The sequence below is a fragment of the Homo sapiens genome, chromosome 6, assembly GCF_000001405.40.
Source record: "Homo sapiens chromosome 6, GRCh38.p14 Primary Assembly".
NCBI lineage: Eukaryota > Metazoa > Chordata > Mammalia > Primates > Hominidae > Homo > Homo sapiens.
The window spans coordinates 57,822,764-57,848,168 of record NC_000006.12 but is presented as its reverse complement, the minus strand read 5'-3'; the positions used below and the strand labels follow the sequence as shown (position 1 = coordinate 57,848,168).

Genomic DNA, 25,405 nt, shown 5'->3' with positions numbered 1-25,405 from the left:
AACCTAACCAAAATAAAAAATTTTAAAGATCCCATTTACAATAGCTACAAAAAATACTTAGAAATAAATTTAACCAAGGAGGTGAAAGGTCTGTATACTGAAAACTATTAAACACTGATGAAAGAAATTGAGGAAGACACAAATGGAAAGATATCCTGTGTTTATAGATTGGAAGAATTAGTATTATTAAAATGTCCATACCCCCCCCAAAGTGATCTACAGATTCAGCGCAATCTCTATCAAAATCCAAATGACATTTTTCACAGAAATAGAAAAAAAACCCTTAAAATTCATATGGAAGCACAAAAGTCCCCAAATAGCCAAAGCAATCTTGAGCAAAAACAAAACTGGAGGCATCATACTACCTGACTTTAAAAATATACTACAAATATATAGCAATCAAAACAGCATAGTACTGGTGGAAAAACAGACATATAAACCAGTGGAACAGAATAGAGAGGGCAGAAATAAATCCACACATTTATAGTCAATTAATTTTTGACAAACGTGCCTAGACACATAATGAGGAAAGGATAGTCTCTTCAATAAATGGTGTTGGGACAACTGGATATCCACATGCAGAAAAATGATAGGAGGCCCTTATCTCATACCATATACAAAAATCAACTAAAAATTGATTGAAGACAAACATAAGATGTGAGACTCTAAAACTTCTAGAAGAAAACATATGGGGAATGCTCCATAACATTGGTCTGTGCAATGATTTTTTGGACATGAACCCCCCCAAAAGCAAAAAGACAAAAATAGATAAATAAGATTACATGAAACTAAAGAACTTCTGCACAGCCCCCCCAAAAAAAATCAACAGTGAAGAGACAACCGATAGATTGGGAGAAAATATTTGCAAACCATACTTCTGTAAGTGGTTGATATAAAAAATACATCAGGAACTCAACTCAATAGCAAAAAAACAAATAACCCAATTAAAACATGGAGAAAGGACCTTAATAGACATTTCTCAAAAGAAGACACATTGCCAACAGGCATATGAAAACTTGCTTAATGTCATTTATCATCAGGCACATGCAAATCAAAACCACACCTGTTAAAATGGCTGCTATCAAAAAGGCAAAAGATAACAGGTGTTGGCAAGAATGTGGAGAAAAGAGAATCCTTGTACATTGTTGGTAGGAATGTAAATTAGTGCAGCTGTTTTGTACAGCAGTTCCTCAAAAAACTAAAAAGAGCACTATCATATGATCCAGCAACCCCACTTCTGGGTATATGTTCAAAAATCGGTCTATTGAAGAGATATCTGCACTCTCATGTTCATTGCAGAATTACTACTAAAGTAGCTGAATCAGCCTAAGCGTCTATCAACAGATGAATGGATAAAGAAAATATTACAACTGCACAATGAAATACTATTCAGTCTTTTAAAAAACAGAAATCCTGTCATTTTCGATGTCGATGAACCCGGAGGGCATTGTGTGAAGTGAAATAAGCCAGGAGCAGAAAGACAAATACTGCACGATCTCACTTAAATGTGAACTCTAAAAAAGTCAAACTCATCAAAGCAGAGAGTAGAATGGTAGTTACCAGGGGCTAGGGGAGGAGATGGGAGGTAGGAATGGAATTAGAGAGATGTTTGTCAAAGGACACAAAATTTCAGTTAAACAGGAGGAATAAGGTCAGATCTACTGTGCCGTATGGTGACTACAGTTAATAATAAGTGTATTCTGTACTTTATAATTGCTAAAAGAGTAGATTTAAGTGTTCCCATCACACACACACACTAAGTAATAGATACGTTAATTAGCTTGAGTTAACCATTCCACAATGTATGCATATATCAAAACATCATGTTGTACATCATAAATATATACATTTTGTATTTGTCAACTAAAAAAATTGTAAAAACAAGTATTTAATGCTCATCTCAAAATATAAAAAGCCTGTGATGCAAAGGGTTTCTATGGTGTAGTAGTTACCACGCTGGCCTAACACATGGAAGGTCCTCTATTTGAAACTCAACGGAAACAACAGGTTTCTCTGGTCTCCCAGAATCTGACCGGGAGTGGCCGCTTCTTCCCGGGAGTCCAGAGCTGCAAGGAACAAGTGATTATCCCGCCTCTTTTAAAAGAAAGATCGTCATCCTGGGATAGCTGTGCCAAATTAGCAGGCCGCTCTGGGCGGGCGCTCCCCAGCTGGGACGTGCTCGCTTCTCTCCCTGAAAATCTGGAACGTGAAATCTTACAGCACCAGACTTTTCCAGTGTCCACTTTCTCCTGGTTACGTTTTCCCCTCTCCCTCGCAGAGGAATAGCCATCATGCCCTTGCCCTTGGCCATTTTTGAGTAGACTCGCCTTAGGTCGAGTCCTGGTTCCCCATTAATAATCCAGACATTTCCTTTGTTCCGAGACGCAAGAAATGGTGGTAATCGCGCACATCTACTCCTGAATAAAGGAAAGGGCAGAAAGTTTTGCGGTAGGTGACGAATGAGCTCAAGTGGTAGAGTACTCGCTTAGCATGTGAGAGGTAGTGGGATCGATGTTGTCACTTGGGGCCGCATGTCCATACAGTACAACGTGGAGAACGGCTTCATTAGTCACCTGTCGAAGAAAACGAGGAAGTACCAGCCATCTTGAATGCTTCACTGGTAAAAGACCTATGGGCATAAAGAAACAGTGCTAATAATAGCCCCTAAAACGTTCAGTGGACAGTACCCATTCTCTAAGTTGTTTTCTCTTTATTCAGAGGAAAGAAGAGATCCCAAGAGGGTGGGATATACCCAATTTTTCCTTTTCTCTCCTTCCTGCAGCTTGACCCAAAATGCCAAAATGCAGCACAGCTCTGGAAAATGCAGGGCAGAGCAGGATGAGTAAAACCCCAGCTTTCTTTCTGGTCAGGGCACTGTAAAGTGGAGTTCCAAGTAACCGGAAAGTCCTGCCGATAGTGTGGAAAGCAAACCCACAAGTGGTTTGTCAACTCACCGAGTGCACCCCTGAGTTGCGAATATGTAGCTGTAAGGAGCAAAACCAAATACAGAAAGCTTATTTTTTCCCAATTTAAAAACATGTTTTGTGATTCTACTTTAGATATCTTGAATAGGCAAATTCATGTAGACAGAAAGAATAGAGGTTGTTGGGGAGAGGGAAATGTGGAGTTATTGTTTAATGGGTACAGAGTTGCTGTTTGGGATGACGAGAAACTTCTGGAAATGGGTAGTGGTGATAGTTGCTCACATTGTAAATGTACTTAATGCCACTAAATTGAACACTTAGAATTTTCAATGTAAAATGGGTTAAGTATATTTTACCACAATAAGAAAACACAAACTCTTGTTCATTCTTTAATTTAGCACATAGTCTCATCATCTGTTTTTCTCCACACCAGCTCATCTGTTCATCCTTCTACTCATTTGACAAATACTTAGAAATGTCTAGATTTATTGTTCCATTCATCAGACATTAATTCAGGATCTCTTGTGTGCCACAGTTTCAAGACTTCTCCCTCAAATGTTTACACCAATGTCTTGACAAATACCATAGATCTTTCCTGCACAGCCTCTCCAGAATGTTTTTCTTACCTTTCACTCATGTTTCTCTTGCCCATTCTACCACGTTTATGGAGGACGTAGTCTGCACCACAAAGTATAATGGGCACTGGAGCTACGGAAAGACTCATGCTGTTCATTTCAGAAGCTGACGGAATAAATGTGAATAAACCTCAATTCTTTAATCTATTTATAACTTCTTTCCATTTCTCTTCAATTACAGTCTCCCTGTTCCCAAGCTCTTTGACATCCAACACTAAACACCTTTTTCTTAAATGTTAATTTGGTTATGTAAGCTGTCTGGAATTTTTTCAAGGGTTCTTAAGTCTCAATGTTTTCCCAATCATTATCTCCATGTGCACAGGCATTTCAATCACTACTTCCTTTCATTTTGTAAACAGGCACACACACAAGCAGGCACACATGCACTTGTGCACTACACATCCCAAGTGAACAGGCATGTTTCCTCACACAGGAATTCCTACATCTATGCCTGTTCCTTCAAACTCATGTGCATTCTTCCTCATCTGCATCCTTCAAGGTTCATATTTATCCCTTTACTACAAGCTGATCTTTTAATCCCCATGGTTCTTGTCTGTAATACTTTTGTAATTTTTGCTGTTTTCTTATGTGATGTGAATATGTGAGTTCTATATGATGTAACTTAAAAAGACTTGAATATAAGTATGTGTATATATATATATATAAATCTAACATAAATATATCTTATATATCTTAGAAATCTAAGATATATACATACCTTGAATATCTTAGATATATCTATCTTAGATTTAGGAAGTCTGAGGGTTTCCTCAGTGTAGTGTAAAGGTTATCTCACTCACTTGCTTAACACGAGATGAGGCCCTCAGACAGAAAGACAGATGTTATATAATTATAAAGCATCTATTCACCGAAGGGACACAACTGTCCTAAATATGTCTGTTTCTGGCCACAGAGCTTCAAAACTTATGAACAAAATGGATAAACCAGAAAGAAAATAGAAAAATCCAATTACAGTTGCAGACATTAACACTCCTCTCTCAGTAATTGATAGATTCAGGAGAAAACAAATCAGCAAACATATTAGAGAATAGAACAACACCATCCACCAATGGATCTAATAGACTTTATAAAGCAAAATCACAATTTATGTAGAAAGATGAGCCAAAAAAATCAAAGAAAAGCAAGATCATATTATAACTAGGAAATCATGAATGGTCAGAGTGCAGAAAAGTGACATTATTGAAACTGATATTTCTGAAACAGTTACTTAAATAGCAGGAAGACTGATAACGGCGAATCTGTAAGTGAATCTTTCCTTGTCCATATGTATCCTGCTTTTTCTTGAGGTCTGGGCTGGCCAAATTCCTCCTGAAATTCCTGGGCCTACTACAGTGTCTGGCACAGAGCATCTCTCCAGCAAATATGTACTGAATGAGTAGAAAGGAACTGACGGATTCAGAAGAGACCTGCAAGAATAATGTTCAGTATTTGGCAAATCACTGAATGTGGTGTTTGAAGGAGGACAATGAGTCAAAGTTGACTTGGAAATCTAGGCCCAGGAGGAGGTTGAGAATTAGATATTTGGTATATGAATGAATGGACTACTGTGGAGAAAAACAGGCAGAGAGATAATGAGCAGGAGCAGGGAAAAGACTCACCTTTTGGAATCTAAAATAAATGTGCTTCTCAGTTCAGGCTTTGCCACCTAGCATCTCTGGCACCTTAGAAACAATAATTATCTGAGCCTCCATTACATCTAGAAAGTGCACATTAGGATACATCGTTTTGTTAGCGAAATTCAATTGGACTACGTAAACGCAAGAAATCTCGTAGTATACTTAATAGCACACAAGAAAAAACAAAGGGGTAAAAAACAAAGAGGGTGCCATTATAAGTATTTTGTGTTTTTTTTGTAGCGACAATGTCTTCAGTCATGTAGATGCAAGTGGAGATATGAAGGAAGACAGTAGTATGATCAAGAGACAGGTTTGATGGCTATTTCTTCATTCATTTATCCAGGTGGTCAGTGAACTATCATGAACTGAGAACCTCCTGTCTCTTTTCAACAGAGGAGACCATGGAAAGTGTAAGAGTGACTAAGGTTTCTGAGGGAAGGAAAAGGGAAAAAGAGCAGCAAAAGACAGGTACAATTGATCCTGGTAACGCAGAACCCAGACGGTCCTATGAAATACTGGAAAGGTGTAGACTCCTCTGGTCGTGGGTATGGAATCTTCCTAGTGCAGCGTTGATTGATACAGAGTAATTTTCAAGTAGGATTGATTGTAGTTTTTGAAAGCTGAAACCGTAAAGTAGGTGGGAAATACACTTCGACAAAATGGATGTTGCCCAAGCTCAACAGCAAGCCCTCTTAGTGCAGCTGGCAGCGCGTCAGTTTCATAATCTGAAAGTCCTGAGTTCAAGCCTCAGAGAGGGCATCACTTTTGCCAAAGAAGTTGGATACACTAAATATCGGAACGCAAATGCTATAGCAGATAAGGATTTGAAGACTGACCCAATATTTGTAGAAAATGGAAACATAATTTAAGTTTTCTTGTTTTTTCGACTTTCCAGTGGTTTGAGTAAAATAAGTGGTGAAAACAGAAGAGTAGATTACACCAGAAACTACAAGCTATGTCATATAATTGGTCTTTCTAGCTGACACAGGAAGCAGGAGAAATTTCTCTTCCAGCTTCCCGCTCTCAGGGTCACCTCACACTAATTATTGGGTGGATGGGTGAAGTCATTTATTCTTTTAATCATCCAACAAATATTTCTTCAACACATATCTTGTTAAGAGACTGGGGTCAAGAGTGAATACAACGCAAACATTCCTACCTCTGTGAAACTACATCCTACTTGGGAGGAGTGGGGTGAAAGTGTATACAGCACAAATATTCCTAGTATTGCGAAACTACATCATACTTGGGAGGCGTGGGGAGAAACAGACAGGAAACAATCAAAAATATGTAAGACGTGATTTGACGATGTCTACTGTGAGGGAATCGCTAGGCAGTAAAGGGTGTGGGAATGTGGAGGTGGCACATTCAGCTTTCAGGAGGACAATCAGGGACTCTGTCACCTTGACAACTTTAGCCTTGCCTTCTTCTAGCCATCTTGCCGGAACACTTGTGCCCATGTTTTTCTAACACTGTCATAAGAGTACTTTTACCTATCAAGGCAACTGGGGGTTAGGAGAGCTTTTTGCCCAGAAGGCTAGTTGGCTTCCTTGGAAAACTGATGATACATGAGGACTGGGGTTGTCAATCCCTCATGTGTTTCTTCATATGAAAAATGAGGACTGTGGGATTCTCTGGCTGGATCTCAGCACCTAGAGATGGATCTGGGCAGTAGGAACTGCTCAGTATTAGCTACTGCTTTGGTTGCCTTCTCCCTGTGGAAAGCTGGCCTCTCACACTGAATTTGTATCATAGGCACTCATGAGGGTCTTGACTATATCAATATCTGATGGGAGACTTTAGTGCAGTTCTGTTGTCATAGCTGATTTGCTCATTTGGTAGCTAGCATCCAGCTTCTTGTGAACACTAAAATAAAATAAAATAAAATAGATAATGGAGGAATAGAATACAGATACATAGTAAGGTATTATTTCCCAGACAAAATGGATTTGGATAAAAGAATCTAATTAAGAATTTGTACCTGGTTCTTTTAAAATTCCTTTGAATTTTGTTTTTTTGGCCTGTTTTTCAAGTCTCCAATTTTTGTCACCCTTCTCCCATCAGGTCAGAGAGATAGCCAATGGTCAGAAGCAATCTTCCAGCAACTGCCATAGCGCTTTCTCCTGCCTGCAGATGCCTCTTTTTAGTCAGCCTTTATGGGAAGTAGCAGCAGCATCCATTCCCAGAGAGCAAGCTCTGGAGTAGCTGAGCTAACCCCAGTTGCTAATCTGAGCTAATCCCAGTTACCCCAGTGGATTTACAGATTGAGGGTAGAACCCAGCAGGGTTCTCTTCTTGGAAAGAATAGGCTTCCCTCTAAGGTTTCACATAGATACTGGGTGAGGAAACAGCCCTAAATGGCTTCAGAAATTGAATGCTCTTTGGGCAAAGCAGGAAGCCCTGCTGTGGAAGAGCATCATCTGAGCATAAATCAGGTTATCAGGACAAACAAGAGTGTTCAGGAGGTCTAGATGGTTAAGCAGAGAGCCTCACCAGAATATCCGTGGTGAAGAGAAACAATCTTGTTGGGAGAAGGATAACCATAATTGGGGACTTAGAATAAAGGCTAAAAATGATTCAAAGAGAATGCAAAAAGAATCAGGCACAAATCTTTACTATATTCTGTTGTGCAAATCTTACCTTACTATGTGTTTATATTCTATTCCTCCACAATCTTTATTTTATTTTTATGTTCACAGAGACTTGCTGGTTCCAACTAAATGAGCACAACAGCCAGTGACAACAGAACTGCACTTAAATAGTCCCTCATCAGCTCTTGACGGCAGATTCCTTAAAGGTGAACAATATTCCACATACAAGGACTTTTCAGCAGTATGCATTAGAAATGGAACTGAATGTTTATTATTCTTTATATAAGTTGGTTGATATGACTTTTCAGCTTCCCTCAGTAACATTATCTAAATTTTGTAGATGACAGTAAAGCTCAGAGGAGTTAAACCATTTTCCTCAAATCACGTAGCTTTAAACAGGAAAACCAGATATGAAAAGCAGATTTCTTTCTAAATTAAAAAACAAAAACAAAAAAACTTGAGCTCTTGCTTTACCCTAGCACATAGTCTCGCCATCTGTTTTCTCCACGCCAGGTCATTCATGTAACATTCATTCACATAACAAATACAAATAAATGAGCAGATTCATTAATCAGATATTAATTCAGAATCTCTTTTGTGTCTACCACACTAGACTAAAGACTTCCCAGTGTCTTTGTCTCCTCTCCCTCAAATCTCTCCACCCAATGTCTTGACAAATAAAGTAGATCCTTCCTGTACAACATCTCCAGAATCTTTTCTTCCTTTTCTTTCACCTCTGTCATCATTCATGCTACAATGTTTATGGAGGATGTATTCTGCAGCATGAAGTGTGGTGAGCACTAGCGCTGAAGAAAGACTTCTGCTGTCTACCTCAGGTGCTGACACGATAAATGTGGGTAAACCTCAATCCTTTAATATCTTTATGACTTCTTTCCCTTTCTCCCCAGTTCCTGTTACTCATGTTCAAGCTCTGACATTCAAAACCAAACACCTTTCTCTAACATGTTGCTTTAATTATTTAAGCATTCTGCCTGGGATATTTTCAATTAGTCATGGGATTTTTCATAAAACTCTCCCAATATATCTCCAAGTGGCCAGGCTTTTCAATCACTGCTTGCCTCCATGTGTATTTCACACACACACACACACACACACACACACACACACTCTCCACTTAAATTGAACAGGTTTATTTCTTTACACAGGAATTCCTACAAAACAGCCCGGTTTTCTCCACCATATGTCCACTCCTTCTCTGCATAGCTCAATTTTGATTCTTACACTATATTTTACATATTCTTACACTCTGATATGATCTTGTCTCTTATTCTTTATGGCTCTGCTCTGTAATTTTGTTGTTGTTGTTCCGAGATATAGTTGGACATGTAACTTGTACATGACACACCTTAGCAAGGAGGCAACTCATATCTCAGATGTAAGTGAAAGAAGCACTCTCCAGGGGTTTCCTAGGGGAGTGGTCAGCACGCTGGCCTCATTGGTGAAACGGCCTAGTTATGAAAACAGCAGGAGCTTTTTGCCTTCCAGAAATCTGGACCATCTCACAACCCCCAGACAGTCTCAGCTACAAGGAAAAGTGATAATTCCATCCCACTTTTATAAACACACACACACAACACACACACACACACACACACACACATAAAATCATTTAATCATTTTTAATCATTTAATCATTTTTAAAAAATCTCTGACACTTTAGCTGGGCAGGTCTAGATATGTCCTCCTTTGCTGGGATGTGCCTTTTTCTGTCCCGGAATACCCTAAACTTGACATTTTGGCAGCACGAGTTTTCCCTTTGTGACTTTCTCCTTGTTCCCTTTCTCCTCCTTCTTTGCAGAGAATGAGTAGCCACTGCGCCTTGCCCTGGGCCATCAGTGAGAAGATCTGCTCTTAGTAGAGCCCTGCTTTCCTGCTGAAGGCCCTGAAATCCCCTGTGTTCCAGGACACCCACTAAGGATCAATAAAGCTCCCCTGACGTGGGGAATTAGCTCAAGCGGTAGAGCGCTTGCTTAGCATGCAAGAGGTAGTGGGATCGATGCCCACATTCTCCAAGCTTTATTATTTGGACCTTGGGTCTCCAAACACTCAAGTATCCAAACCCAAGTTAGTGTCTGAGAGCAGGATGCTGCTTTGGTTCAAGACATAGGAGCAGCCACAATACAGGGCTGGTGATGACTCCCTCCTGGCATTCAGTATAGTGTAGATCTACTGTGTAATTCATTTGCTGTTTCTTCAAGGAGCTGTGAAACCAAGGGACATATAAAACTGCTCTTTTCTCCCTGTTTCTGCCTGAAGCTTGGTCCTAAACGTCAGACAATCGTGAAACGTGCAGGGCAGAGCCACCTGGGTAAACACAGCCTCGGCTTTCTGCTCAGGGGACTGAAACCAGGATGTGTCAAGTAACTAGAATGTGCCTGGACAGATACTGTAGAAAGCAAACCCATAAAGTTGTTCATGAGATTGTGGACACACCTGCCAGCTGTGAATAAGTGGCTCTAATCCCAAACAGCTTACCTACAAAGAGCCTGAGAGCTGAACTGCGCAATGGCCCACTTTCCAGTCCTCACTGAAGTTGCACACACTCCGGAAATCTCTGAACAGTAGCGTAAAGGCTTTGCAAATAGAGTTATCTTTGAAACAACAACACGTGGAAGGCTGGTTGGTACTTGGAACTTGAATACAAGGCAATTTTGTGCCTGCAAAGATAAAAATAGCAATATTATTCTTAAGATTTCAACAAAACACAGCGTCTCATCACATAATCCAAAGAAGTCCAGGTTACAAGCCCCAAAATATTCAGCATTATGAAAAACCAGGGAGATCTTCATTCACATGGCAAAGAGACTCCTCGAATAGCAATACTGAGAGGACACAGATGTCAAAATCATCTGAGGCATAGAGTAGAGCAGTTATGATAACAATGCTCCTAGAATTAGGGGATAACATTCATGAAGTGAATGGGAAGTTGGAAAGTCTCAGCAAATATCTGGAATATATAAACACCAATTTTAAGCTTAAAAATTTAAAAAAATGTATTAACCAAAACTCTTAGGGGAAATAAAAAGCTTAACTGGATGATCTCAATAACAGAATGCAGATGACTAAGAAAATGTCAACGAACTTGAAAACAGAACAAGAATACCTACATAATCTGAGCTATAGAGAGAAAGGAGTATTTCTGTAAATGAACAGAGGCACAGGGACAAATAAAAAATAGCAAATCTAACATTCACATTATTGTAATCTGAAAAGAAGAGGACAAAAAGGTCTTTGTGGGATAAAACTTTGAAGAATTAATGGCTGAAAATGTATCAAATTTGTCAAAAGATATAAATCAAGTTTTTAAAGTTCAGCAAAGGTCAAGCAGGATAAACCCAAAGAAACCCAACCCATTTCAAGACATATCATAATCAAACTGCTGAAAACGAGGAAAGTACAAAACAATCTTGAAAGCAGTCAAAGGAAAATGAAAAAGAAACTACCATATGAATGAGTGTAGATTTCTCATCAGGAACCATAGCGGCCAGAAAAAAATGTCATAATATTCAGTAAGTAACAAAAGAAAAAGACCTATCAACCCAGAATGCTATGTGGAGCAAAAGTATCTTTCAGACATAAAGGCAAATAAACGCATTCTCATTGGAAGGTAAGTCAATACATTCTCATTCATAGCAAGAATGCTGGAAAAGAGTTAGCAAAGATTTGAGATAAGAAAAGTGATACCAGAAGGAAACTTAGAACATCATCAATGAAGGAACGAAAGCAGAAATAGAAAATGTCTGGGTAGACATAACAGACTGTTCTTCTTCTCTTGAGTTCCTTAAGGTATGTTTGATGATTGAAAGCCAAAATTGTAACTTTATCAGAAGCAGTTGTCATTGTATCGAGATGTACTACATAGATAAGATAAAAGGGTAAGTGTAATGGACCTAACTCTTGATGAAGTTTCTATATTCAACTTGAATGGTAAAATATTGATTCTAAGTATACTGTGAAAAGTTATATATGTATATGGTAATCCCTAGACCACTTACTAACCAGATTGAAATAAACCAAAACAAGATAGACAGAGGAACATAGAAGAATTAAAACAAAGGGAACAAAGGTTAATACATTATTAAATAGATCTATCTAAAAACTTATCTATATTAACATTACACGTAAATGATCTAAATCCTTAATTAAAAACTAGAGATCATCAGAATGTATTAAAAGTAAATATGCAGACTGTAAGAAAGCCACCTGCAATACACTTATATATCAGAATAAAAGTTATATAGCAGATTGAAGGAAAAGAGTGGGAAAGATACCTCATGCAAGCATTAATCAAAGACAGCTGTGGTGTATACATTAAAATCAGACAAAGTAGATTTGAAAGCAGAGAAACTTTTCAGGAATAATGAAGGCTGCTAAATAATTATGATTGTCCATTCTCCAGGGAATACTGTTCCAAATGTATATGAGGACACAGATTTTCAAAACTCATAAACAAAATTAGATAAGCCAGGTAAAAATAGAAATATCCAATTTTAGTTGAAGACACTAAAACTCCTCTCTCAGTCATTGGTAGACTTAGTAGACAACAAATCAGCCAACATATTGGAGAACTGAACCACACCATCCACCAATGGATCTGATCAACTTCATAACGCAAAATAAAAATTTAGCCAGAAAGCAAAGACAAAAATTAAAAGAAAAGTAAGATCATGTTATAACCAGGAAATTAAGAGTGGTCCATCATATAGAAGGGTGCTATTATTGAAAGAGTTTGAAATAGTGACTTAGTTATTTTGAAAGAGTTTTGAAGGCATTATTTAGCTGGAAATGACAGAAAGACTGAAAATTGTGAATCTGGAGGTGGATCTTCCCTCATCTATATTTATCTTGTCTTCTTTTGAGGTCTAGGGTGTCTATACTTCCTCTGAATTACCTGATCCTACTATAGTGTCTGGCACAGAGCATCTCCCCAGTGAATATGTACTAAATGAGTGGAAAGTAATTGATAGATTCAAAAGAGTTGTGCAAGAATAATGTTCATTATTTGGCAAATCATTGAATGTGGTGTTTGATGGAAGACAATGAATCAAAGTTGACTTGAAAGGTAAGCCCAAGGCCAGACGTGGTGGCTCATTTCTGTAATCCCAGCACTTTGGGAGGCCGAGGTGGGCAGATCCCTTGACGCCAGGAGTTTGAGACCAGCCTGGGCAACCCAGTGAAATCCTGTCTCTACAAAAAAAACAAAAATTAGCCGGGTGTGGTGGTATGCATCTGTAGTTCCAGCTACTCAGGAGGCTGAGGTGGGAGCATCGCTGGAACCCGGGAGGCGGAGGTTGCAGTGAACAGAGATCACACCAGTGCCCTGGCAGTAAAGTGACACCTTGTCTTAAAATAAAATAAAATGAAATGAAATGAAATAAAATAAAATAAAATATAAAAGTTAAGCCCAGGCCGGGCGCAGTGGCTCGCACCTGTAATCCCAGCACTTTGGGAGACCAAGGCAGGCGGATCACCTGAGGTCAGGAGTTTGAGACCAGCCTGGCCAACATGGTGGAACCCCGTCTCTACTAAAAATTCAAAAATTAGCAGGGCACCTGTAGTCCTAGCTACTCAGGAGGCTGAGGCAGAAGAATCACTTGAACCCAGGAGGCAGAGGTTGCAGTGAGCCAAGATTGTGCCACTACACTGCAGCCTGGGCAACAGAGTGAGACTCTAACTCAAAAAAAGTTTTTAAAAAAAATTTTAAAAAAGTTAAGCCCAAAAGGTAAGTAAAGAGGAGGTCTGGAATTACATATTTGGTGTATGAGTGCATGAGCTAAAGTGCAAAAGAATGGGCAGAATAACCGTGAGCTGGAGCAGAGGGAAAAAAATCACATGCAAAATCTAAAAATATCTGCTTCTCAATTCGGGCTTTCCCACTTAGCAGCTTTGGCACCTTAAAAAAAAAAAAAAAAAACACTTGACCGGGCACGGTGGCTCACGCCTGTAATCCCAGCACTTGGGAGGCCGAGGCGGGCGGATCAGGAGGTCAAGAGATAGAGACCATTCTGGCTAACACGGTGAAACCCCGTCTCTACTGAAAAAATACAAAAAAATTAGCCGGGCATGGTGGCGGGTGCCTATAGTCCCAGCTACTCGGGAGGCTGAGGCAGGAGAATGGCCTGAACCTGGGAGGCGGAGCTTGCAGTGAGCCCAGATCGGGCCACTGCACTCCAGCCTGGGAGACAGAGCGAGACTCCGTCTCACAAAACAAACAAACAACAAACAACAACAACAAAAACGCACTTAGCCTATCTGATTCTCTATTACTTCTAAAAAGTGCATACTAAGGCATAATTTTGTTGGCAAAAGTCAATCAGACTACATCAAGTAAACTCCCTAAGTCTCCTAGTATAATTCATGGCACAAAAATATGAGGAAAAACAGGGAGGATATGATTAAAAGTTCAGTTTGTATTTTTTGTTGAGTGAATGTCTGCAGTCCTATAGATGCAAGTGTAGATACACAGTAAGAGTAGTATGAATGGCAGACATCTTGGAAGGCTATTTCTTCCTTCATTCATTCAGTTGGTCACTCAATGAACTATCATGAATTGAGCACTACCTCTGTTTCTTATCAACAAAGGAGACTACGGAAAGGAAGAGTGACTAAGATCTCTGAAGAAGGGAAAAGCTAGATGACTGGGCCACAGGAGGAAAAAAAGCAGCAAGACAGGTACAATTGTTTCTGGTCCCTCAAGCCAGAAGGTCCTATCATTATGTGAATACTGGAAATGGGTGGACTCCACCTGTCCTGAGTGGGGAATTCTTCCAGTGCAGCATTGACTGATAAGGAGTGATTTCCAAGTAGCATTGATTGTGTTCTTTAAAAGCTAGGAATTGATAAAGCAGCAGTGCGTGGGAAATGAGATTTAATAATCTGGATGTCACCTCTTAGGAACAGTTGCTCTCTTAGAGCAGCAGGCCACCTGTCAATCTCATATTCTGAAGGTCCTGAGTTTGAACATGAGACAAGGCACAGCTTATGCCGCTATTTCCATTAAGAGAAATGAAATAGGTGTGATAAATAATGGAACACAAATGCTATGAGATAATGATTTCAAGACAGACCAAATATTAGCTTAAAATTTAAAAGTGAGTTTTCTTTTCTTCTTTCTTTCTTTCTTTCTTTCTTTCTTTCTTTCTTCCTTCCTTCCTTCCTTCTTTCCTTTCCTTTCTCTTTCTGTCTTTATTTATTTTTTCCTTCTTTTGGCTTCTCAGTCGCTTGAGTACAAGGCGTGGTGAAGACATATAAATTACACCAGAAACTGCAAGCTATGTCATATGTCTGCCTCTCTAGCTGACAGGGGAGGCAGGGGAAATTTCTCTTCCAATTGCCTGCTCTGAAGGTCATCCAAACATAATTATGGGGTGGGGTGGGTGAAGTCTTTTATTCTTTTAATCATCCAACAGATAGTTCTCAACACATATCTTGTTAAGAGACTGTTTTGGGTATAGCAATTCGCAGTGAATAAAATACAGATATTCTCACCTTTGTGATACTACGTCAATTTTGGGGGGAGTGGGGAGAAAGAGACAGAAGCAAAAAAGAAAAATAAACAAGAAGTCATGTGATGTTATCTACTGGGAGGGAGTCACTAGGCAGTAAAGGACTCGGCAGTGTGGAGGTGACACATTCACTTTTCAGGAGAAGAATCAGGGAAGTTGTCACCTTGAAGATATCATTTAGCTTCCCTTTCTTCCAATAGTCTTTCTTTACATGGGAAATGAGGACTCTAGGATTCTCTGGCTGGATCTCAGCACCTAGAGCTGGATCTGGGCAATAGGAACTGCTCAGTAAGCATTACCTACTGCTTTGGTTGCCTTCTCCCTGGCCTCTTGGATTGAGCTTGCATCATACATGTTCAGTAGGAACTTGCTTAGTGGATTTACAGGTTGAGGTTAGAACTCACCAGGATTCTCTTCCTGGAGAGAACAGCCTTCCCTCTAAGGTTTCATATAGACCCCGGGTGAGGAAAGACCCCTAAATGGCTTGAAAAATTGAATGCTCTTTGGGCAAAGCAAGAAGCGCCACTATGGAAGGGCATCATTTGGGCATATATCAGGGTCTCAGTACAAAGATGAGTGCTCACGTGGTCAAGATGGTTAAGCAGAGAATCTCACCAGAATGTTCACGGTGCAAAGAAATAATCTTGTTGGGAGAAGGATCACAGCAATTGGGGAATTAGAATACAGGCTAAATGAGATTCAAAAATAATACAAGAATCAGGCACAAATCCTTTACTACTACATTCTTTTGTACAAATCCATTTTGCCTAGAAAATCATGCCTTACTATGCATCCCTATTGTGTTTCTCCACCATCTATTTTACTTTTTAAACTTTATTTCATTTTTATCATCACAGAAGCTTATTGCTACAAAATAAATGAGCAAATCAGCCAATGGCAACAAAACTGCACTGATCTCTCTCCTTAGACCTTCAGAACATCTTCCTTATAGGTGAACAATACTCCACGTTCAAGAATTTTTCAGCTCTATGTGCTAGAAACTATACTGACTGTTTATTAATTTTTATGTAAGTTGGTCAATATAGTTTTTCAGCTTCCCCAAGTATTATTACCCTAGTGTTACAGATGACACTGAAGCTCAGAGCAGTTAAACCATTTTCCTTAGATCACATAACTTTAAAGAGGGAAACCAGATATGAAAAGCAGATTTCTTTCTCAATGAAAAAATCATAAGCTCTTGCTTTAGTCTAGCACATAGTCTTATCTGTTTTCTTCACACCAGCTCACGAATGTAACATTCACTCATTTACCAAATACAGATAAATGAGTGGATTTATTCTTGCATCGATCAGATATGAATTCAAAATCTCTTCTGTGTCTGCCACACCGGGCTCAAGACTTGCCAGTGCCTTTGTCTCCTCTCCCTCAAATCTCTCCACCCAATGTCTTGACAAATACTGTAGATCCTTCCTGCATAAACTCTGCAGAATCTTTTTCTTCTGTTTTACTCACCTCCTTCTTTATCCATGCTATGATGTTCATGGAGGATGTTTTCTTCACCATGAAGTGTGAAGGGGATTGAAGCTGCAGAAAGACTCATGCTGTTCACCTCAGGAACTGACACAGTCAATGTGGATAAATCTCAATCCTTTAATATCTTTATGACTTCTTTCTCTTTCTCCCCAGATCCAGTTTTTCCGTTTTCAAGTTCTTTAACATTTAAAACTAAAAACCTTTCCCTAAAATGCTGCTTTTCTACCTGGAATTTTTTCAATGAGTCTTTAGCTTTTATAATATTCTCCCAACATATCTCCAAGCATCCAGGCTTTTCAATCACTACTTCCCTCTGTGTATATTTTACACACACACACACACACACACACACACACACACTCCACTTAAATTGAACAGGCATATTTCTTTACACAGGAATTCCTACAAACATTCCACCCTATACCTACCCTAGGTTTTCTCCACCCTATGTCCACTCTTTCTCTGCATTGCTGAATGTGTTTTCTTTATTCTTTCACTCTGATATGATCTTTGTCTCTTATTCTTTATGCCTCTTATCTGCATTTTTTTGTTATTATTGTTCTGCCATGCAGTTGGATATGTAACTTTTACATGACACACCTTAGCAAGAAGACAACACATGTCTCAGATGTAAGTAAGAAAAACACTCTCCAGGGATTTCCTGGTGTAGTGCTCAGCACCCTGGCCTCATTCCTGAAAGTCCCTCGGTGTGGAAAAAGCAGGAGCTCTTTGCCTTCCAGAAATCTGCATCATCCCACAGCCTCAGCTACAAGAAACAAGTGACAATGCCATCTCTTTTCTTTTAAAAAAATCATTTAAGCATCCTGAGATATCTGTGACACATTAGCTGGGCAGGGTCCTTCTGTGGGACATGTCATTTTCCGTCTCGGAATATGTGAAACTTGACATTTTGGCAACACCAGAGTTTTCCCTTTGTGACTTTCTCCTTGTTCCCTTTTCTCCTCCCTCCTCACAGAGAATAAGTACCCACTGCACTCTTGCCCTGGGCCATCAATGAGAAGATCTGCTCTTAGTGGAGCCCTGCTTTCGCGGTGAAGGCCTTGAAGTCGCGTGTGTTCTAGACTGCCCACTAAGGATGAAAAAAGATGCTGTGAGATGAAGAAGTAGCTCAAGTGGTCGAGTGCTCGCTTAGCATGTGAGAGGTAGTGGGATTGATGCCCACATTCTCCAGGTTTCACTAGTCGGACCTCAGGTCTCCAGGTTACAGTGGAAAAAAATATGTGTTAGACACTGATCTCAGAAAACAGTAGGTTAGACACTGATCTCAGTAGCAGCCTGGACACTTCTTTGGCTCATTATGTAAGGGCAGCAACAATACAGGCTTGACTAAGATTCTACTGGTATGTGGTATAGTATAGATCTATCAGTGTGTAATTAGTTTTCTGTTTCTTTGATGAGCTGTGATACAAAGGGACATATCCAGTTGCACTTATTCTCCCTGTTTCCTCCTGCAGCTTGGTCCTAAATGCAGCATAATTATGGAAAGCGCAGGGCAGAGCCACTCAGGTAAATACAGCCCCAGCTTTCTGATCAGGAGACCGAAACTAGGAGTTGCCAAGTAACCAGGAAAGACACTGTGGAGAGCAAACCTGTCAAGTTGTATGTGAACTCCTGGATGCGCCTGTGAGCTGTGAATAAGTGGCTCTGATCAAAGACAACTTATCTAAAAAGAGCCTGAGAATCGAACTAAGTGATAGCCTACTTTCCAGTCCTCACTGGCCACTGGGTTGCACATACTCCAGAGTCTCTGAATAGCAGTGTTAAGGCTTTGAAAATAGAATTGACTTTGAAACTACAACACACAAGGCTGGCTGGTTATTGGAACTTGAATACAAGGCAAGCACGTGCCTGCAAAAACAAAAATAGCAATATTATCCTTAAGATTTCAACAAGACACAGTGTCTCATCACATAATGCAAAGTACAACCCCAAAATATTCAGCATATGAAGAACCAGGACAATCTTAATTCACTTGGCAAAGAGAATCCTCGAATAACAATACTGAGAAGACACAGATGTTACAATCATCTGACACATACTTTTAAATAGTTATTACAACAATGATCCATGAATGAAAGGATAACACTCTTGAAGTGAATGGAAAATTGGGAAGTCTTAGCAAGTATCTGGAAGCTCTAAACACTGATTTTAACTTAAAAATTAAAAAATGTATTCATCAAAACTATTAGGAGAAAAAAAGCTTCAATGGGTTATTTCAATAACAAAATTGAGACACTCAGAATAAAGTCAATGAACTTGAAAACACAACAAAAATACCAACCTAACCTGAACAATAAAGAAAAATGAGTGCTTTTGCAAATGAACAGAGCCTCCGGGACAAACAGAAAAATAAGAAAAATCTAACACATCATTGTAATCCTGCAGGAAGAAGAGAAAGAGGTCCTCCAGAAAGAAAACTCCGAAGAATTAATGGCTGAAAACATATCAAATTTATCAAAACACTTTAGAAGTTCAATAAATGTCAAGTAGGTTAAACCCAAAGAAATCCATACCCAGACACATCATAATCAAACTGCTGAAAACTAAGGAAAACCATAAAAATCTTGAAGGCAGCCAAATGAAAATAAAAGGGAAACTGCCACTTGAATGACTGTGGACTTCTCATCAGAAACCATAGGGGCCCAAGGAAACATTTACTAAATACCAAAAGAAAAGACCTGTCAACCCAGAATGCTATGTAGAGCAAAAATATCTTTCAGACTAAAGGTAAATAAATACATTCTCACAGGAAGGTAAACTGACAGAATTCATTGCTGGTAGAACTGCTGGACAAGAATTAGCAAAGATTTAAGATGAGAAAAGTGATACCAGAAGGAAACAGGACACCATCAGTGAAGGAACGAAAGCAGAAATAGAAAATATCTGGGTAGACATTACAGACTATTATTCTTCTCTTGAGTTCCTTAAGGTATGTTTCATGATTGAAAGCAAAAATTGTAACTTTATCTGATGCAGTTGTCATTGTATCTAGATGTGCTACATACATAACATAAAAGGGTAAAGGTAAAGGGTCTAACTGCTGATGAAGTTTCTATATTCAACTTGAATGGTAAAATATTGATTCTACGTATACTGTGAAAGGTTATATATGTATATGGTGATCCCTAGACCACTTAGGAACCAGATTTAAATAAACCAAAATAAACTAGGACGAAGAACATAGAAGAATTAAGACAAGGGGAACAAATGATTAATAAATTATTAAAAAGTAGATCTATTGGCTGGGCACGGCGTCTCACGCCTGTAATCCCAGCACTTTGGGAGGCCGAGGTGGCTGGATCACCTTATGTCAGGAGTTTGAGACCAGCCTGGCCAGCATGGTGAAACCCTGTCTCTACTAAAAATACAAAAAATTAGCCAGGCATGAAGCCAGGTGTCTGTAGTCCCAGCTACTTGGGATGCTGAGACAGGAGAATCACTTGAACCTGGGAGGCAGAGGTTGCAGTGAGGGGAGATTGCACCATGGCACTCCAGCCTGGGTGACAAGAGCAAGACTCCATCTCAGAAAGAAAAACAATAGATCTACTTAAAAACTTATCTATAAAAACATTAGATGTAAATGATCTAAAACAATGAATTGAAAACCAGAAATTGTCAGAATGTATTATAAATGAATATGCTGACTACAGGAAAGTCACTAGTAATATACTTATATGTGAGATTAAAAGTTATATAGCATATTGAAAGTAAAGAATGGGAAAAGATATGTCATTTAGGCATTACTCAAAGAAAGCTGTGGTGGATATATTCAAATCAGACAAACCAGATTTTAAATTGTAGAAAACTTCCAGGGATAAAGGGGGCTGTTACATAATTAGAGGTGTCAACACACCAGAGAAATAATGTCCCAAATGCATATAAGGACACAGGGCTTCAAAACTCGTAAGCAAAATTGGATAATCCAGATAAAAATAGAAAAATCCAATTACATTTGCAGACGTTAACAGTCCCCTCTCAGTAACTGATAGATCCAGTAGACAATAAATCAGTAAACACATTTGAGACCTGAACAACATCCATACAGCAATGGATCTAATCAATCAACTTTCTAAAGCAAAATCACAATTTGGGTAGAAAGAAGAGAAAAAAAATAAAAGAAAAACAAGATCATGTTATAACTAGGAAATCAGGAATGTTCAGAGTGCAAAAGAGTGATATATTGAAACTGACATTTTTGAAAGGGTTATTTAGCTGTAAATGACATGACACGGAGACTGAAATCGTAAAACTGGACGTGGATCTTCCCTTCTCCATATTTGTCCTGCCTTCTCTTGAGGTCTGGGCCGCTTGAATCTTTAGAATCTCCTGAACTTACTACAGTATCTGGCACAAAGCATCTTCCCTGTGAATGTGTACTGAATCAATGGAAAGGAATTGACAGGTTCAAAAATGTTGTGCAGGAATAATGTTTACTATTTGACAAATCACTGGATGTGGTGTTTGAAGGAGAAAAATGTGTCAAAAGTTGACTTGGAAACAAAGCCCAAGATTTGGGGAATGAGATATTTGGTGTTTGAATGAATGGGGTGCTGTGGAGAGGAGTAGGGAGTAAGATTGTGAACTGGAGCAGAGAAAGAATCACGTTTTAAAATCTAAAACATCTTCTCAGTTCAAGCTTTGACACTTAGCAGCTCTGGCACCTTGGAAACAAAACTTATCTGAGGTTCCATTACTTCTAGGAAGTGCAGATTAGGACACATAGTTTTGTTGGTGAAACTCTATTGGACTACATGAAGTAAATTCAATAAATCTCTTAGTGTAATTAATGGCATACAAGATTTGCTTTACACTTTTTGTAGCAGGATTGTCTCCAGTCGTGTAGATGCAAGTGGAGATAGAGAGTAAGACACAGTAGTATGGACAGGAGACACCTTTAAAGACTATTTTTTCATTCCTTCATTCGTTCAGTTGGTCAGTCAGTGAACTATTATGGACTGAACATGTCCTGTGTGTCTTTTCAAAAAAGGACACCATAGGAGGTGTGAGAGTGATTAAGATCTCTGAAGGAGGGAGAAGTCAGATCACTGGGCCACAAGAGGGAAAAAGTCAGCAAAACAGGTACAATTGTTCTTGGCCTCTTGCCTCAAGATGGTCGTCTTGTTAGATGAATACTAGAAATGGGTAGATTCCACCTGTCCTGAGGATAAAATTCTTTGGGTGCAGGAATGGCTGATAAAGAGTGATTTCCAAGCACCATTGATTGTGTTCTTTGAAAGTTAAGAACTGATAAAGCAGCAGTGCTTGGGAAAATAGCATGTGGGATGTCAACTCTTGGGTGAGAACTGCCCTCTTTCTGCAGCAGGCCACACATCAATCTCATAATCTAAAGGTTTGGAGTTTGAACATCAGAGAGGATACAGTTTTTGCTGCTATTTCAGTTGAGGGAAACAAAATGGGTGCACTAAATAATGAAATGCAAATGCTATGAGATAACAGTTTGAAGGCTGACTCAACATTAGCTTAGAATGGAAAAGTCATTTAGGTTTTTTGGGTTTTTTTTGTTTGTTTGTTTGTTTGTTTGTTTGTTTTTTGGCTTGTCAGTGGTTTGAGTAAAATGAGTGGTAAAGGGATATAGATTACAGAAGAAACTGCAAGCTATATCATATAATTGGTCTTTCTCACTAGCTGATGGAAGAAACGGGAAATTTTTTGTCGAGCTTTCTGCTCTCAAGGTTACCCAGTTGTAATTATGAGGTGAGTGGGTGAAGTCATTTATTCTTTTATCCTACATGTATTTCTCGAGCACGTATCTTGTTAAGAGACTGTTCGGGGTACAGCCATTCAACAGTGAAAAAACGCATATATTCTTCACCTTTGCGAAGCTACTTTCTAGTTGATAGGGGTGAGGAGAAACAGATCAGAAGCAAACAAGAAAAATACATAAGATGTTATGCGACAATGTCTACTGGGAAGGAATCCATAGGCAGTAAGGGACTTGGGAGTGTGGAGATGGCCCATTCAGAAGCTTTTAGGAGAGGAATCTGAGAAGTTGTCACATTGAAGACATCCTTTACCCACCCTCCACCCCCTCCCCACTCCCCACTCCTGCTCCTTCCTTCAATCATCTTTCTTCACGTGGGAAATGAGGACTGTGGGATAATCTGGCTGGATCCCAGCACCTAGAGAGGGATCTGATCAATAAGAACTGCTCAGTAAGCATTACCTATTGCTTTGGTTGCCTTCCCCTTGCGGAGTGCTGGCCTCTTGGATTGAGCTTGCATCATAGGTGTTCAGAAGGAGCTTGCTTAGTGGATTTACAGGTTGAGGTTAGAACCCACCGGGATTCTCTTCCTGGAAAGAACAGGCTTCCCTCTAAGGTTTCACATAGACCCCGAGTGAGGAAAGAGCCCTAAATTGCTTGAAAAATTGATTGCTCTTTGGGCAAAACAAGAAACCCTCCTATGGAAGGGCATAATTTGGGCATATATCGGGGTCTCAGTACAAAGATGAGTGCTCAAGAGGTCAAGACGCTTAAGCAGAGAATCTGACCGGAATGTTCGTGGTACAGAGAAACAGTCTTGTTGGGAGAAGGATGACAATTGAGGCCTTGGAATATAAGCTAAATAAGCTTCAAAGGGAATACAAAAAAGAATCAGGCACAAATCCTTTACTACATTATTTTGTACAACTCAATTTTTGCCTAGAAAATCATACCTTACTTTGCATCCCTATTGTGTTCCTCCACCATCTATTTTATTTTTTAAGCGTTATTTCATTTTTATGTTCACAGAAGCTTGTTGCTACAACTACATGAGCAAAACAGCCAGTAGCAACAGAAATGCGTTACTATCTCTCCTCAGACCTTGAAAGCATTTTCCTTAAAGGTGAACAATATTCCACATACAAGGAGGTTTTCAGCACTATGTGCTAGAAATTATACTGAATGTTTCTTAATTTTTACGTAAGTCGGTCAATATAGTTTTTCAGCTTCCCCAAGTATTATTACCCCAGTGTTATAAATGACACTGAAGTAAAGGGCATATCACTCTCTTTATTCTGTGTAGGTGTGTCTGCTTACAGCTAAGGATTTCCTAAATTATAGCTTTGTAAACATTAGTTCTAAATCATTCTGATCACTTGAATTTTGAAAATGTCAAAACCAATCACATTAATGTAATAGAAAATAGAGGTTTGAGGTGCATTGGCTCACTGTTTTATTTACTATGGATCAGTGGAGTAGAAATTCCCATCGCGGGAGAGGGTTCATTCCTGTCTCTCGCCTCAGCAAAGTTAAACATTTCAGACCTTTCCTGACTTTGGATCTATTGCGCATGCTCTGTCGTTTACCACTATCCAATCCTGGGGGGCATATAGAGCCACTCAGAGCCTTAGAGGTACGTTCAGTGAAATGGAGCCAATCACCATATAGTGTAGCCTATTGTTCGTCTGACCAAAATGCACTATGTTGCGATAGCATGGATTCTACAGACCCGTGAAGCCCATTTGGACCACAAGACACTCTTTCCATCATGCCTGCACACCTATCCTTCACTCTTCATTGATACATGCAGACTTTTAAAAGTATTTAGCAATAAGCATCCTACCCCCAAGAAGCTTATGATCTCATGGAGAAGATGGCCAAGCAACAGACAATCCCAACATGGTGAATGCCGCTAAAACAAATGCGTACCTGGATCTCCGTGAGTGCTAGGAGGAAAGCAACCCAAACTCAGAAAAGTAGGAGAGGTGTCAGGGAAGACATTTTCCAGAAGATGGTTTCGTGTCTAACAAAGCCGTGAGACGAGCAAAGAGGAGGTGAAAGGCTCAGCGTTCTATGGGGACATTTCCTTAAGTCCAGTATCTCTAGAGTTGAGTGAGGGAAGCTAAAAGAGAGGAAATAGAAATGAAAAATGGGAGTTTTTGAGAGGCTTTACTTACCCTGCACAAGCCAAGGACAGGTCTGCGGGAAGTAAGCAGATGCACAGTTAGGAAAGCCCATATCAGGAGTTAGTCACGACAGAGAAAGATTTGTACGCTTTGGAAATCGTAAAGGAATGAAAAGCCCAGGTCCTTATTTCCGTGTTTTCGCCTCTGTTTTTCACGTTCCTCCCGGATTTCAATTTCTTTCTCGAATCTTAGCTCTCTTCGTCATCTGCTCTTGCAGGAACACTAAACTGCAAACGCAACCGTACGATTCAGCGGACTACGTCCCATCAAGATTACTGGGTACAAATACATTTACTTTCGTGTTCTCTCATGACTTTCTGTATCACTGCCCACAGTTGCTACTGTGAAACATAATTGTTACTGTGAAATAAACATTAGAAAAGCCTGTGGCCCGTACGGGGATCGAACCCGCGACCTTGGCGTTATTAGCGCCACGCTCTAACCAACTGAGCTAACCGGCCCCGCCGGGGGGAACGGACCCTACCTCTCTTGAGGAGTTTAAAGGGGAGCGTTATTCCAATCACCAAAGAAACTTTTCTGAAGTTCTTGGAGTTGGAAAGAACCTACGATCTTTGCTAACTTGGTTACGATCCTCGGCAAATTTCTTCTAACCTGGAAATTTCAGTTAAAATACAATTCTGCGGAAGGAAAGTTCAAATGTCACCTGCTT

The 25,405-nt window shown here is 39.5% G+C and overlaps 1 long non-coding RNA gene and 3 other non-coding genes across 4 annotated transcripts; 2 read left to right on the top strand and 2 right to left on the bottom strand.

Moving 5' to 3' along the window:
* Nucleotides 1-1,896: 1,896 nt before the first annotated feature.
* LOC105375101 (uncharacterized) lies at nucleotides 1,897-25,156 on the bottom strand. The gene is made up of 3 exons (XR_001744179.1): nucleotides 24,479-25,156; nucleotides 10,283-10,464; nucleotides 1,897-2,629 (listed from the first exon to the last, which is right to left on the bottom strand). It is a non-coding gene; the product is annotated as an uncharacterized LOC105375101 (long non-coding RNA).
* TRM-CAT7-1 (tRNA-Met (anticodon CAT) 7-1) lies at nucleotides 5,883-5,955 on the top strand. The gene has a single exon. It is a non-coding gene; the product is annotated as a tRNA-Met (tRNA).
* Nucleotides 9,747-9,819, top strand: TRA-AGC13-2 (tRNA-Ala (anticodon AGC) 13-2). Its single transcript has one exon. It is a non-coding gene; the product is annotated as a tRNA-Ala (tRNA).
* TRNAI-AAU (transfer RNA isoleucine (anticodon AAU)) lies at nucleotides 25,123-25,196 on the bottom strand. The gene has a single exon. It is a non-coding gene; the product is annotated as a tRNA-Ile (tRNA).
* Between the last annotated feature and the right edge of the window lie 209 nt (nucleotides 25,197-25,405).